The following is a 15395-nucleotide window of genomic DNA, read 5'->3' on the forward strand; positions in this document are numbered from 1 at the left end:
TGTGTCTTTGCCATCACGTTTTAGAAAAGCCTTCTCGGTTTTCTGGTATATTCTAGTACCTTCATTTTTTTTAACATTTAAATCTAAAGTTCTGCTGTGATTTGTTTTGATGTGTGACAAGATAAGAATCTATGTTTTTCCAAATTATTTATTATTGTCCCAGCATCACTTGTTAAATAATCTTCTTTTAACCAACTCATTTGGAAAACAATCCTATAATAACCTCTTACTGTGATGTATTTTGTGGCCTGTGTTGTGTTCCATTGAGTTGAATGCATATTCCAATGGGAGGGTCACGCTTTTAATAATTATAAATGTATGTATTTTAATTTCTTATCTTACTATTCTTTGTAGTTATTTTTCAGAATGTTCCAGGTAATAATAACTTTTTTACCCAGTAGAAATTTAGAATCACTTTAAGTTCCAAGGAAAATACTTTGAGGATTTTGATTGAAAAAAACATTGAAGTTATAAGTCAATTTGGGGAGAGTGGTCATTTAGAAAAATATCCAATCTTTCCTTCCAGAGATATAACTCTCTATTCAAATGTCTTTGTATATTATTCAGTAACATATTATAGTTTTCTTTGCTTTCTGTTTATATAATTCCTAAGTTTTAAATTTTGTTGCATTACCCATTATGTTGGTTTTGGTTTTTGTTTTGTTTCTTTTTGAGACAGGGACTCACTCTGTCACCCAGGCTGGAGTACAGTGGTGCGATCTCGGCTCACTGCAACCTCCGCCTCCCGGGTTCAAGCAATTCTGCCTCAGCCTCCAAAGTAGCTGGAACTACAGGCACCCACCGCCACACCTGGCTAATTTTTGTATTTTTAGTAGAGACAGGGTTTCACCATGTTGGCCAGGCTGGTCTTGAACTCCTAGCCTCAAGTGATCCTCCCCCTCGGCCTCCCAACGTGCTGGGATTACAGGCGTGAGCCACCGCACCCAGCCTGCATTGCCCATTATGTTTTCATTGGTGATTAAATATTTAATTTAATATTGTTGGGTCTTTTTTTTTCTTTTTTAGAGATGGGGGTTCTCACTGTGTTGGCCAGGGTGGTCTCAAACTCCTGGCCTCAAACAGTCCTCCCACCTCAGCCTCTCAAAGTGCTGGGATTACAGGCTTCTGCCACTCCACCTGGCCCTGTTGTTTTTTTTAATCTTCATTTGGTAACTGGCCACCTCTCTGTATGCTTGTTATTTCCAATAGCCTCCAGTTTATTTACTGGGATTTTCTTGGAAGACAACATCATCTGCAAATACAGATCATTTTGTCTCTTTGATAACATTTATACACCATTGGTTTTTCTTGCTTTGTATTTTTGGCTAAAACATTGAAAGCAGTGGCAGTAGTTTTCATTCTTACCTGGTTCCTGACTTTAATGGGAATGCTTCTAGTGTCCCATGGTTAAGTCTGATATAGATTTGGGGGAATTTGGAGGAGAGAGGGCTTGATTGTATTAAAGGACCCATTCTCTATTCCTATTTTCCAAAGATTTTTTTTTTAATAAATTCAGGCACTAATTTGAGTTTCATATAAAAAAATTTGGAATATTTTAATGTAGTATAATATTTTTTCTCACTTATTGACAGATACAGATTATTTTGTTTTGATGATTTAGCATTTAGAAAGTTATTGTTATATTTCTGAAATCAATCTTTATTATGGTGCATTCTTCTTTAAATATAGTACTAGATTTGAGCCACTGCTATTTAAGTTAGGATTTGGGCATTTATATAAGTAAGATTAGGCTTTTTGCTTATCAAAATGTAATTTTTGTGTGATCTAAGTTTTTTTCAAATATAAAAATATTTCTAAAATATTTAAATGGCTGTTCATTTTGGGGAAAAAAGAACACCAAAAAAAAAAAAAAAAAATCCTGTCTGAACTATGTGGACCTGGAAGCTAGGGGCATTTTGAGGAGATGGACAACTATTTCAGTTTCTTTCAGCATTAGTGATTTTTTTCAGGCTTTCTACTTTTTCTTGAGCCAGTTTTATCATGTGTATTTTTTTAAAGAAAATATAGCAATTTCACCTAAATTTCATCTAAATTTTAAAGTTTATTGGTACAAAATTTTACTTAAGAGTTTGTATTTATCTTAAAATTAATATACCTATAGTCATATATATCCTGATGTTATTTTTCTCTCTCTTTTTCTTGGTTGATTTATTTGCTTTATTTGTCTTTCCAAATAACTGCTTTTTAAATTTATAAAGCCATTAGACTTTTGCTTTATACTATTTAATAAATTTTTATCTGTATTAGTTCTTTTTTTTAACTTTCTTTTTTTTTTTTTTTTTTTCCTTTGAGACAATGTCTCACTCTGTTGTCCAGGCTGGAGTGCAATGGTGCCATCTTGGCTCACTGCAACCGCCGCCTCCCAGGTTCAAGTGATTCTCCTGCCTCAACCTCCTGAGTAGCTAGGACTACAGGTGCGCACCACTATGCCTGGCTAATTTTTGTATTTTTAGTAGAGATGGGGTTTCACCATGTTGGCCAGGCTGGTCTCCAACTCCTGACCTCAGGTGACCCACCTGCCTCGGCCTCCCAAAGGGCTAGGATTACAGGCATGAACCACACTGCCCCCAGCCACCTTTTTTTTTTTTTTTAACTTTCTATTTATTTTAGCTTTTTTAATAGCTTCCCTTGAGTGGTTCCCTCATTTGTTTTCTGTCCTTTTTTGATTTTTAATAAAAGTGTTTAGGGTTATATAAATATTCTTGTATATTGCTTTGGTGGCATTCTGTAGCTTTCATATATAATATTTATTTATAAATACATAATTTCAGTTTTGATTATCCCTTTGACTCAAGTGTTAGAAAAGACATTTCTAAGTAATTTTTGAAACCTTAATTTCTACTTTTATTATGTAATTATCCGAGAATATGACCTCTATAATTTTTTGTTTTTTCAAGTGTATTTAGTCTTTGCAGTCTAATAGATATATCAGTTTTACTAAATGCTCCGTTGATACTTGAAAACACATCTTCTCTCTGTCACAGTGTTTGAGATACACTCCCACCATCAACGTTTTTTGATCAAGTAGGATGGATGGGTATGTATACCCCCATATAGATATATACATTCATTCATTCAATTTGACCAAACAATGGTAGCTTTTGTTTTGCACAGTTCTTCTCATGTCAGTATCATTTTGATCATTGGTTTTATTTTGTATGTTCCTATGCAGTGTTATTGAGGCCATGAAGGTTTATGACGGTTAAAGGTCTATTATGTATTTTACTCTTCATCGAAATAGAATTCCCCTTTTGTCGCATCTCGCATTTTTGGCCATAAGTTCCATGGTGCTCCTGTCCCTTGTGGCCCTGGCTCTGAGTGCTGCCCCTCCTCCTCCCTCTGCTCTGGCCAGGTGAGGCTTCTCCTCCAGGGGTTTTCCACCTTTGCTGTGGTTGTCTCTTCCACCAAAGAGAGCCCTCCTGTTCCCCACCACATCCCTGCCAGCCTCTGACCTGTCTGTGTCTCCAGCTCTTCCCAGAAGCCCTCCCTGGCAGCTCCTGTCCTCCTCTGCTGGATCCTGTGAGCACCACAGCCTCCTGTACACCCTGAGCTATGCCTCTCAAGGCCCTCCACCAGCTCATCCCCTGCTGTGGGCACAAGCCCTGCTTTCAGAGTTTCCCTGCCCAGGGAATGAATGCCCCTTGAGAGACCACACATATGCTGCAAGTCCAGCCCTGCTCAGAGCCGTTCTTTGCCAAATAATCACCTTGTTATTAAAGAGCTGATTGTTCTACTAGACTCTTCTATTCTTATGGTTCACCATGAAAGACCAGTTAATTCACTTTTTAAAAATTACTTCAAGAGCCTTGTGTTTGGCCGTTTTGTGTTTCTATAAAGAAATACCTGAGACTGGGTAATTCATAAAGAAAAGAGGTTTAATTGACTCACGGTTCTGCAGACTATATAGGAAGCTCCAGAATCTGCTCCTGGTGAGGGCCTCAGGAAGCTTCCAATCATGGTGGAAGGCAAAGGGGAAGCCGATGTATCACATGGCAAGAGCGGGAGCAAGAGAAAGAGAAGGGGGAGGTCCCAGGCCCTTTCAAACAACCAGATCTCGGTGAATTAATGGGGCAAGAACTCACTTATTACCAAGGGGATGGTGCTGAACCATTCATGAGGGATCTGCCCCCTGATCCAGTCACCTCCCACCAGGCTCCCCGCCTCCAACATTGGGAATCACATGTCAACGTGAAATTTGGAGGGGACAAACTGCCAAACCATATCAAGCCTCATCCCAGAACTTTGATCATTGGAAGTGCTTATTTGAAATCTTCCCATCTTCCCTGATGATACTCCAGGGGCCCACACCAGAGCGCTAGGCAGCGTGGCATAGAAGGAAGGGCAGGGGTTTTAGAGACTGGCTGCCTCCCTGGCTGGACATGATCCCATAACTTGCCAATGCTCCCGTCAGCTGCCCAGTTCCTTGCACCTGTCTCTCAAGGGGCATTCGTTCACTGGGCAGTTACTGAGGAAACTCCCATGTGCCCAGCCCTGGGGCCTGGACTGGCAGAGAGCCCCGGGCAGTGAGTGGGAGCTCAGAGCACACGGGGCCCCCACACACCAACTGGATGCGACCTGCCACCGGTACAAATACAACCTGCAGAAGTCGGATGTGCTGGTCCCTCTGTTGAGAAGGCTCGGTGGCCGCAAGCACGTATTGCAGTCCACAGAACCATCCTGGCAGATGGCAACGGCTGTAGAGAAGACCCGCAGGCCCTTTCCCTTGCAGGTTTGCTGTCTGACAGACAGGTCTGGCCTCCCTGGCTTCCTGTCATTAATGTGGTTTCAGATGAGAGTGACCCCCCACAGCACCTCCTTGCTAAGGCTCATTTCCAGAGGAAGGCAGAGAGTCATTCTTCATGGTTAAGAATAAGGACAGCCTTTAATTTCAGCAAATTTAGCCACTTCCTTTCTGCCCAGAGGCATAGGAATATTTCTGAACCTGGACAGGGCTGGCCTGGGCCCAGTATGTTCTGAGTCCCATGGGCAGGTATGCTTAGGCTGGGGTGACTGTTACATCATTACCTGCAGCGAGAGACTGGCTTTTTTCCTCTCCTGACTGGCCTTACCATGGAAAAGCAAGTGACTTTTTGTGTCTGTTTGGTTTCAGGAATAATAATCAATTTTTATTGAGCTAAGTCACCTTCATATATAAACTCATTTAATCCTTGAAACCACTCCACTTCCCATTTTACAAATAAGGAACCGAGATTCAGAGAGGTTAAGTGACTTTCCCAACATCACACAGCAAATCAAGGCAGTGGCCCATGGGTGCCTTCATTGTGCCTCCTACGGAATTCCGTAGTAGGCTTTCTCACTCCTCCACTCTTAGTTTTAAGTTGCTGTCTCATTTCCTAGGCTGAGCACTCCATGAGAGATGCCCTTGGCCTCCTCACATCTAACATCAGAGTTAACCGTGAGAGCTCTGCAGTCAAGTTCATGTCGCAGTCTGGTCTCGCCTATGCCCAAAGCCTGGGAGGGCCCATCAGGTGATGAGTCCTGCTGCTCCCTGCACTGTGCAGAGCAGAGCCCCTGGCCCTCCCTGGGAAGGAAGGTCTGGCTCCCAGGTGGGCGGTGGGCAAGCTCCACTTCCTCTCATTAGTCAGCCTAATGGATGGCCGGCTGAGCTTCCAGATCTGTCCGGGGACTAGTGGACTCTTACCGCCTGCTCCCAGAGCAGCCTGGGAAGCTAGCCCCCATTGGGGTGACACAGATGGCAAGCCCAAATGACAAAGTAAACTCCAATATGTCTTGGAGACATTGTCAGCCTGCAGCTTATTTGTCATGTCACAGCAGCCTTGTGGACCAGGGATGTACTCCCTCCCCGGCCCTGCTCCATCCCCATGTGAGGATTATTTACAGGAAACTGCATTTGATAGGGCTGGTGGGGAGGGCATAGAGATGGAGGGGTGCCAGAACAGATGTTGGTCATTTTCTCACGTTTGGGAAATTAATAACACTCACTTACCTAGCATTTATAGAGTGCTTCACCCAAACTCTCTTCAAGTCTCATAGCAACCCAAAGAGGTGTCGATATAATTAATCCCAGTTAATAGATGCAGAAACCAAGGCATAGAGAGCTCAGTCAACTTGCCCAATCACACAGCTAATGAGAGCTGGGATTCCGGCTCAGGCTGGTGCAGCGGAGGCTGAAAGGGCACTTGCTGCCTGCTCAGGGCTGGGTTTTGGGAGGCAGATCAAGCAGGAGGAATGACACCCTGTATCCCAGGGATGTCCTTCAGCCCTGCAGGTGCAGACCAGCTGTGCCACCCAGCCCAAAAGGGGACACATTAAGGGAGGGAAGCGGCACTGTTTGGCCTTTCTCCCATGGTGACTGGGCTCTGCGGTGAGTGGCTGTGTTTGGGGCTGTGCTGGACAGCAAGGTCACGTACTCCACCCTAGGTGGCATCTCTGCATCACCAGAAGAGCAGGGGTCAGAGGAGGAGGAAGAGGCTTGGCAGGCTGAGTATTCCCAGCCTTGCCTTTCACACCACCACTGCCATAGGGAGTCAGGCCCTTCACCATCTGGGCCTCAGCGTCTTTGACTGTAGAAACAAAAATGGAGGCATGAAAAGCCTCATTCAAGAATTGCAGTGAAGATGAAATGAAATAAAGCTTGCAAAATGGCCCTGCCCACGGTAGGTGCTCACCACTGTAGAGAATGGCTGGGAAGCAGTGCAGAGGGGACTCTCTCAAAGGCCTAGGCCTTTTGCTGCACCTCCAGGTGGAGGAGGGTGTCAGGGACAGGTCAGGGGTACTTAGTAGAGGGTCTCGAGCAAATGATCCCAAGAGCTGCAGCCCATCCAGGCTCTGAGCAGGAACCCTGGAGACCAGAGACAGCAAGGCTCTGTGAGAACTGGATTCAAGCCCAGGGGAATGGTCAAGGCTGCATCTCCCTATCCCCAGCTCCCAAAGCAGTAGGAGTTCAAACCCACCGGGACAGGGGGGCCAAAAAGCTGGACAGAGGGATGAGGCACTGCAGGAACTCCGTGGTGGGACACGACCCTCCCACTACCTTCCAGAAGCAGGAAGAGAGGAGGCACAAGGGTCCTGGGTGGGTGCCCGGGACTCATGTCATCTGGAGGGGGTTTATTTATCTTTCTGATTTAGCTTTAAAGATGCCCCTGAACCCACAGCCTCTGGTCACAGGTAAGCAATGAAAAGCCAGGTGGAATATGAAGAGCAGATTAGGTTAGCCGTGTGACTGATCCCAAGCTGTTTGCCGAGTCTCTGTGTAAATTTCATGCAGGTTGTCTGATTGAGGACACCTGGAATGCCGCGGGCTTGGTGGTTATGAAAGTCCCACTGTTTCATTCCTTAGCCCCGCTCACCAGTTATGTGCAAGTTGAACCGTACCATCAACCCCATTCCCAGCAGCTCCTGTGCATGTCGGAGGCAGGGGATCCTTGTGTCAGGCACCAGCAGATGCACCTACTTTTTCCCTAGGAGATGAAAAAAGGAAGAATGTGAGTCCGTGCCTTCAGCTCATGCGTGTGCTCACGTGCAGGCACGCGCAACCAGGGCTCCCAGGGAGAATGTGCATTTTAAACAATAGACCCAGCCTAATTCCTGGTGTTCACGTGGAGGCCATTCAGCCAGCCCTGAGCCCCAACTACTTGCTGGTCATTCTACTTGAATCTGGGACACAAAAGGTAAAGAAGACATGGCCCTGCCTTGGAGCCTGGTAGGCTTTCCCTCCTCAGCTCGGACCAGCACTGGGGACTCAGCTCCAGACGTGTGCAGACCCTGCGGGCCCACGGGGTTGCCTGGGAGCTGGGGAAATGTGTTCCCTGTTAGAGCGCTGTCCATTTGGTGATTTGGGGGCAGCCGGTGCAACACATTCAGCAGGGCCTCAGGTCGTTTGGCCAGACTGGAAATTGGTTCTATCCCAAATGTTGCTGGAAATAACAAGGCAGCTGTTCAGCCTCTCTGTTCTCAGTTAGTAAGTGAGAAAAGTGTGTGAACCCGGCAGAGGAAAGAAAGAGTTGTCAGAGCCCATTTCCCCCATGCCTTTGATCTTGCTGACCTGGATGTTTGGGTGTTGGGGGTGGGGGTGATTTGGGAGTTTGGGTGAGTTTTTTGGCTGAAGTAATTGGGATGTCTTAGGAAGCAGGGAAGGAAGGGAAGTTCAAGGGTAATTGCTAACTGATGCCAGAAAGAAAAAATAAATGAAATGCTTAGGCACTTCATGGCCCTTTATTTTCCAGCCATTTCTGCAAATTGCAGTCTAGTTCTTTCTCAGAAATAAGTGACCTGCTAATACAGGGTGGGGAATAGTGGCTGTAGGACAATGAGGTTTAATTTTTAAAAGCTCTGGACTCAAGTCCCAGCTCTGCCCCCGAGACAAGCCCCTCACCTTCTTTGAGCTTCAAGTCAGTCTTCTATCAAGAGGGGCTGAAAATGCCTGCCTCCCGGGATTGTGGTAAAGACTAATTAAGAGAAGACTTGCTGAAAGTGCTTTGTCAGCTGTGAAATATGTGAGAAAGATAAAATCCCTATTTCTTCAAGTTCAGCGGGTTTTTAGTGAGCATCTATTTTTGCCAGAAAACCCCACAGACGTGCCACCTCCCCGTGAGCATCCCCACCCACCCCAGTGCATTGTCAAGGACACATGAACTTGTCAACTGGGTGAGCAAGCAGGGGAGGGGTGAAAGGTCCAGCTGCAAGCAGGGAAGCAGCTGAGCACCCGGAGCAGACCAGGGCCTGGCTGGGCAGAAGGGACTCCCAGAGCTCAGGAGTGTTGCTGTTTGCCCCTTCTCCCTTCTCAAGTATGGAGTTTTGTTTTCATACCTGAGGTTGGAGGTCCTAGTGACTTCTTTCTGCCTGTGTGGGCTGTAGAGGAATCCGTTGCCAACAGCAGTGGCCTGTGTATCACCGGCTGCTTCCTGGAAGAGGTGTTCATTACACAGGCTCAGCCTCTGCTTGCCCATGAGGCTCTTGCGGTTTCTTTCTTCTCACTATGCCCCTTCTCACATGTGCATAACTCGTACATGGACACAATCTCACATGCGTTACGTGGCACATGCATACACTCACGTGTGGCACACTCTCACGTGTACATACATACCGTGTGCATGGTCTTGCATGTGACACACAGCCTCACATGCATATGTGCACACATGACACGTGTGCATGCTCACATGTGTGCACACATGACATATACACAGGTGGCCTCCCCTCCTCTCTGGATCATCAAGGATACCATCCAGATTACCTTCCAGGGCTGGGACAAGGGCTCACCAGGCCCCAACAGGGCAAAAGACAATGAGAGAGGCAAGATGGAAGTCTGGTGTCCCATCAGGGAAAGTCTAAGTGAGAAACAGACGCGGTAAAGCAGAGAGCACCGGGAGACAGGAGAGGCATGGACCTCAGAGTCAGTGCCACCACCACCTGCTAGCACCTCCCTTTGGTCCCTTCAGCATTTTAAAACCTGCTTTCTGTACTGAGAAATAGGCTTTCTTCTTTTATTTTCAAACTTCAAAGATCAGTTTTGAAATAAAGTTTTTTCTGATGGAATTCCAAAGGTTTTACACATGTGTGAAAGGAGAAGTTTGGCTGTTAAAATGTGTTCACCCTGCCCCTTGCTGCCCTGACCCACCAGGGTCCCACCGTGCCTCCACTTTGTTCTCCTAAATGCTGCACCAGCTCACAACCACCAATAGTGTGTTGTTCCAGCCTCTTTCCTTCATCCCCCTAATTCATTTGTGTTCAGCTAGAGCCTAGTGGGGCAGAATTGATTTTTTTGTTAATGGGAAGAAATGTTTCCTGTGTAGGCATTGTTTACCACTCTGCAGCTAATCCCATTGAGCCTCGGGCTCAGTAAGCGGGACACCCAGGTGGCCTGGGGCTGGGCGAGTAGAAAGGTGGCCCCTGGTCTTAGCCAAAGGAGTGCCCTATTCAAGCATCAGGATACATTTGCAGTGGCCAGGGGTATGGACCTTGCATTTTTTAACCCCTGCATGGCTTTAGCCCCATAAAGACCCAACTAAATAAGTGAGATGGAAGTGAATGTTTTCCTCTTCTTTTTCATTTTACTTTTGTTAAGCACTGCATAATGTGCATGCCACGTAATACAGTGAATAGCCTTCTGGTAGGGGTCGATGACCATAATTGAGTTTTTTTTTTTTTAACCAGCCAGGAAAATGCTTCCTTAATCAATGTTCTTTAAATGCTTTGACACATGGTAACAACACACCACAGAGATGCACGTGCCGCTCTCCACCAGACTCCACTGATAGGAATACTGGGCAGCCCTTTCTTCCCTTCCCTCCTGTGAGCCTGTGGGTGCGCAGGGCAGCCACTCCGGGGATGAGCGAGCATGCACCATGATGGCGATTCCAGGAAGGATCTTGAACCACGTCCTGGCAGGGCTACCTGGGCCAAAACCCTATTTCTAGGCCCCTTAAAGGTGAGCGGGCTTCAGCTCTCTCCCCAGTAAGACCCACAGCTCCCAGTAAGACCCTGCGAGCTGGCTAGAGGTGAATTTATTTTATTTTATTTTATTTTTTATTTTATTTTATTTTATTTTATTTTAGATGGAGTCTTGTTCTGTCGCCCAGGCTGGAGTGCAGTGGCGTGATCTCAGCTCCCTGCCACCTCCGCCTCCCGGGTTCAAGTGATTCTCCTGCCTCAGCCTCCCGAGTAGATGGGACAACAGGCACGTGCCACCACGCCCAGCTAATTTTTGTATTTTTAGTAGAGACGGGGTTTCACCATGTTGGCCAGGATGGTCTCGATCGATTTACCTCGTGATCCACCCACCTCGGCCTCCCAAAGTGCTGGGATTACAGGTGTGAGCCACCGTGCCTGGCCCTTATTTTATTTATTTTGAGACAGGGTCTTTCTCTGTTGCCCAGGTTGGAGTGCAGTGGCAAGATCATCACTCACTGCAGCCTCGACTTCCCAGGCTCAGGTGATCCTCCCACCCCAGCCTCCTGAGAAACTGGAACCACAGGCGTGTGCCACCATGCCCAGCTGATTTTTTTGATATTTTATAGAGATGGGGTCTTGCCATGTTGCCTAGGCTGGCCTTGAACTCCTGGGCTCAAGTGATCCAGCTGCCTCAGCCTCCCAATGTGCTGGAATTGCAGGCGTGCAAACCACTAAGCCTGACTGAAGTGGGTATTTGAGCCTCTAATGCTCCCTGTTACAGTTTTGCTGTCGTGGTGGTTCTAAGACAATAAACTTTGATAGGTCGTTTTCTTTCTTTCTTTCTTTTTTTTTTTTTTTTTTTTTGAGACGGAGTCTTGCTCTTTTGCCCAGGCTGGAATGCAATGGTGTGATATCGGCTCACTGCAAACTCCACCTCCCAGATTCAAGCAGTTTTCCTGCCACAGCCTCCCAAGTAGCTGGGATCACAGGTACCCGCCACCATGCCCAGCTAATTTTGTATTTTTAGTAGAGACGGGGTTTCACCATGTTGGACCTGGCTGGTCTCAAACTCCTGACCTTAGGTGATCCGCCCACCTTGGCCTTCCAAAGTGCTGGGATTGCAGGCATGAGCCACCACGCCCCGCCTGATAGGTTATCTTGAACATCTCTTCCCAATACAGTAATTAGACCTTAAATGTTTTTGTTGGATACTTACCTCCAAGATATTCCCAAATCTCCAAATTTAAAAATAGCTCTTTCGCACACGATTTCTCCCACAGAATGTAGTAATGTAGATATGAAACATTCAGGTGAACTTGTTAGAACTAATGGTTCTATAAATAAAAACTGACATCATTCATAAAGTTATTTAAATAAATTTTGTCACTAAAATAAATTTATATGTTACATCATTGCTAATAATGATTTTAACTGTGAGTTTTCTTTTTGTAAAAAAGAATTGAGCCAAGCCCCAGGGTTTTTCTAACAAGCTGACGGGATACTTGGCTGGGGTTCTCATCCTGCCCCTCCCTGCTTCCAGCTCAGATACTCGGAATATGGTTGAAGCCTGACTGAATCATAAAGACTGCCTGAGAGTGGGAGAGGAAAGGATCAGTTACTCTTTGGCCACCTTGAACGCGCAGCTTCCTTTTCCTCCTGGGATATGGGGTCTGAGGCATCTCCTTCCTAGAGGCCATGTCCATCTGCATTGCAGGGTGTTCTGTGCAAGAGCCATGCTCCCCTCGAGTTTCTTCAGCTGATCTAGTAATTACTTCACCAGCAGCAGGCTGCTGATAGCGCCCCTGTTTAACTTCAGTTTATAAAAGAAAAAGTAAGCGTCTTACAATTCTGGAACCTCCTTTCCTCTTGGGAGTCTACGTATGGGCCCCGGCTTCGTCCTGAAGCAGTGTCAAGAGTCCTGTGCCGTCTGCTCATGCCCTCACCCCACGAGTTTAACCAGATCTTCAGCTCTCACCAGAGTTTCTTCCACAGTCAGAAGCCCTTGCACTAGGCTCGCAAACCCTTTCTCATTTCCACATCGCATGTGTGGCAGGCTTATTCCTCCCAGAGTAGAGCTGAGCTGCGCCCTCAGCCCACCCTCCCCTTTTTAATCGATGTCAGCTCCTTCCCTTACCCACACTGCGGCCAAGTCTCTCCCCTTTCTTAGACCTTTGGGATCCCTTCTTCCCTCCATCACCAACATTAGCAGTTGGCTCTTGGGTGGGATCAGTTTTTTAAAATAAAGAGACGAAGTGTCACTTCAAGGGAGGTACTGCTTTTGCAGGAGAAAAGTGGGGCGCCTCTCAGCCAGGCTGAAATCTGGGAGCTGCATCTGACTGGCTCGCTCACTGGCCCAACTCCCCACTGAGGCACGCCTGCTCCAGGAACCCCAGTGTGTGCCAAGTTCAGTGACATGTTTATGTCATGACCTTCAAGACTTCCACCAATCCTAGCCACCATGAATGTTATTTTTTTAAATTATTTTATTATATTTTAGATTTGGGGGTACCTGTATGTTGTGTACGGGTAGAGATTGGGCTTCTAGTGTACCCATCGGATGTTGGAGTCTCAGGTCCCAGAGAGTCAGATTTCAGGTGTGAGGATGCGGTTGCCAGTACTTCCATTTTCTCCGCATTTTGTCACACCTCAGACAACACAGGTTGAGACTGAATGAAAATAGGGACGCGTCGCCTGTCGTTCTACTGAGGGAGAACGGGTGGTATGTGTTTGGGATTTTACAGGCAGAACATTTAAAGGCCACCTTGTGTTTTCTGAACCTTAGGCACAAATGAAATCACGGCTTGGTGCTTGTCCAATAGCCTCGCTGGAGTCAAGCTGAGAGCCCCTCTCCACCAAAACCAGATAATAAAAGCGAGCAAAAAGCTTGTGCTTTCAAAGTATGTCTGGCAAAAGACGATTTGGGGACTTTTTCACAATAAAGACTGAGCAGAAAGCGAATAGCCATTCTCACCATCTCCTTGAGCTCCTGGACCCCACCGTCAGTAGCCCTGCACTCTCCCTCACCACGGGGCAACCTTGACTTTTGATTGTCAGGTCCCTGCCAGGTCTCTGCTCAAACGGTTTTTCCACTGACCCAATAAATGATTATGTAACAGTCAGGAGACCCCTATTCAGACAACACCTGGTTCTGTTACTCGCCCACCAGGTCACACTGAGCAAGCGGGTAAACGTCTCTGTGCCCAGGCTCAGCCTCACCAGGCCCAGGATAGAGACCAGGACAAATGAGATAATGGGTGTGAAACCCCTAGGAACCCTGTCAGGCACCACACCACACGTTTGTGTGTGTCTGAGAAACCTATTATTTCTAGGCTGTTCGGGGGCCTCTGGGCTGCTCCTTTTGGGGGGCTTTCTGACCCCTGGCCGGAGCCAGCATCCTCACTCAACACTGGCTCTTAACTTTGCCTGCCTGCTGGGTTTCTCTTTTCCCTGAGGGTCTGCTCTTTTGGATTCACGTGATATTCTTCTTCCCCTGGGGCTTTAGGGAAAGTATTTTTAAGAACAGGCGCCAGGTCTCCTGTTGGGCCTTGCGTTTCATGGTGGTTCCCCCTCATTCCAGCCTGCAGTTTGTCCCGCCTGGTTGCGACAGCAGCCCTGGCTTATTGGTATCTTTCTAGGCTGTTAGGTTCCATTGAAATGTGTCCTTCTTATACTTTACTGTGACCAGAGTCCCTTGAAAAAATTCAGGGCAGATTTTCAAATGGCTGGAAGTCATTACTCAGGGAAGCACAGAAAGGTTCAAGGAAGGAAATCAAGAATCCAGCACAAGTTAGAAATACTGTGTTCCTTAGCTTCAAAATAGGAAGAGCTCACTTTGAGTTAGGTAGGGAGAGAGACCGAAAAAACACCCTCTGTCTGGAATCCAGAAAAGGCATTCACAAGGCATCTGAATTTATTCTCTTTCTTTCTATTACTGAAAGTCAATACCTTAAAAACCCTGAGTGCTGAGAAAACTCACTAAGCCTATAGATTCAGATGACCAAGGATCTCTGAGGGTTCCTTTCATCCTGCAAGTTTTAAGGGCTCAGATCACAGCAGGTCTGGACCTAAGAGAACCCCCAGGTTGGGTTACATACTAAGGAAAAAGTAATCAGTTGGCAAGTAGGTTACCTGGCTGTGCTTTGGCACTGGTATTTCTTGATGCCTTGTCGTAAACTCAGAGTGTCACGAGCCTGGCCTGCTGAGTGGTGCCAGTGCAGGCCTCCCCTTGACTGACACATGGCTCCCTTGCCTCTCTGAGTCATAAAACAGGCCAATTGTGTTTTTCTTAGGGGACTGTGACCCATGGGGACAGTCTAGCATGGTGCTTGGCACAAAGTCCAAAGCCGTCTCCAAGACGCAGCTGCATCACTGCCTGCCCCTAGCATGGTTAGTCCTTCCGGGTAATGGAGAGTCCTGTTGCTTCAGAAAGGCTTCACAGAACTGTGCCTGTGAGACCACGAGACCCTCACCCCAGCAGCACGCGGGCACGCAGCCCACAGCAGCATTTCTCATGGTGCCATTGTGTCTGAGGTCCCAGAGCCAAAGCCTCGGGAGGCTTGGGGCTAAGGATGTGTATTTTCGCACGCAGCCCAGGTGACTGTGGCATGCCTGCGGGTTTGAGAGTTTTGGAGCAGAAGGATGCCTCTTCTGGATGTGGGGCAGCTTGGAGTGCGCAGTTGTTACAGCGCTCACAGGGGCCGCGCTCACCTGCACCCATCCTTGCCTGCCCCGCTCACTTGGACCTGCCACTCTCCCACAGGGGCCGCTTGTCTCACAGTCAGAATCGCCAGCTTCAGCCCACCCATCTCGAGGGAGAGAAAGGGCTCCGGGGCTCAGTAATGGTTTTCACAGGCGGGTTTCATGAGTGGAGCCGCTCTTGTTGGGAAGCAGCTTCCCCTGCGATTTGGGGCATGTGCTTTGGACTTTGAATTTGAGGCTCCCATTTGAAACCACTTTTCCCCAGCCGTGGCCTCTGCAGTGTTCTATAACTCAGTCTTAGTGGC

The 15395-nt window shown here is 47.1% G+C and overlaps 1 protein-coding gene across 6 annotated transcripts in view, besides 1 other annotated feature; it reads left to right on the forward strand.

Annotated features, from left to right (window-relative positions):
• Positions 1–15395, forward strand: part of MVB12B (multivesicular body subunit 12B) — a 180212-nt gene that overhangs the window by 117824 nt on the left and 46993 nt on the right. For 3 of the 6 annotated variants that reach the window (XM_017015275.3, XM_017015276.2, XM_017015279.2), the window contains one exon: positions 3490–3757. The exons of 2 other annotated variants lie outside the window; for them this stretch is intronic. In XM_017015275.3, the coding sequence (XP_016870764.1) occupies positions 3490–3746 (257 nt within the window). In that variant the 3' untranslated portion in view covers positions 3747–3757. One more of the 6 variants, XM_017015277.3, reaches the window with a different exon arrangement.
• Positions 7186–7687: an enhancer, noted in NCBI's record as "H3K4me1 hESC enhancer chr9:129214117-129214618 (GRCh37/hg19 assembly coordinates)". NCBI's record gives its function as "activates a minimal SCP1, AML or CMV promoter by ChIP-STARR-seq in primed H9 embryonic stem cells {active_cell/tissue: H9 hESC(primed)}" and the evidence as "EXISTENCE:reporter gene assay evidence [ECO:0000049][PMID:30033119]".

This window comes from Homo sapiens, chromosome 9 (genome assembly GCF_000001405.40).
Source record: "Homo sapiens chromosome 9, GRCh38.p14 Primary Assembly".
Taxonomy (NCBI): Eukaryota; Metazoa; Chordata; class Mammalia; order Primates; family Hominidae; genus Homo; species Homo sapiens.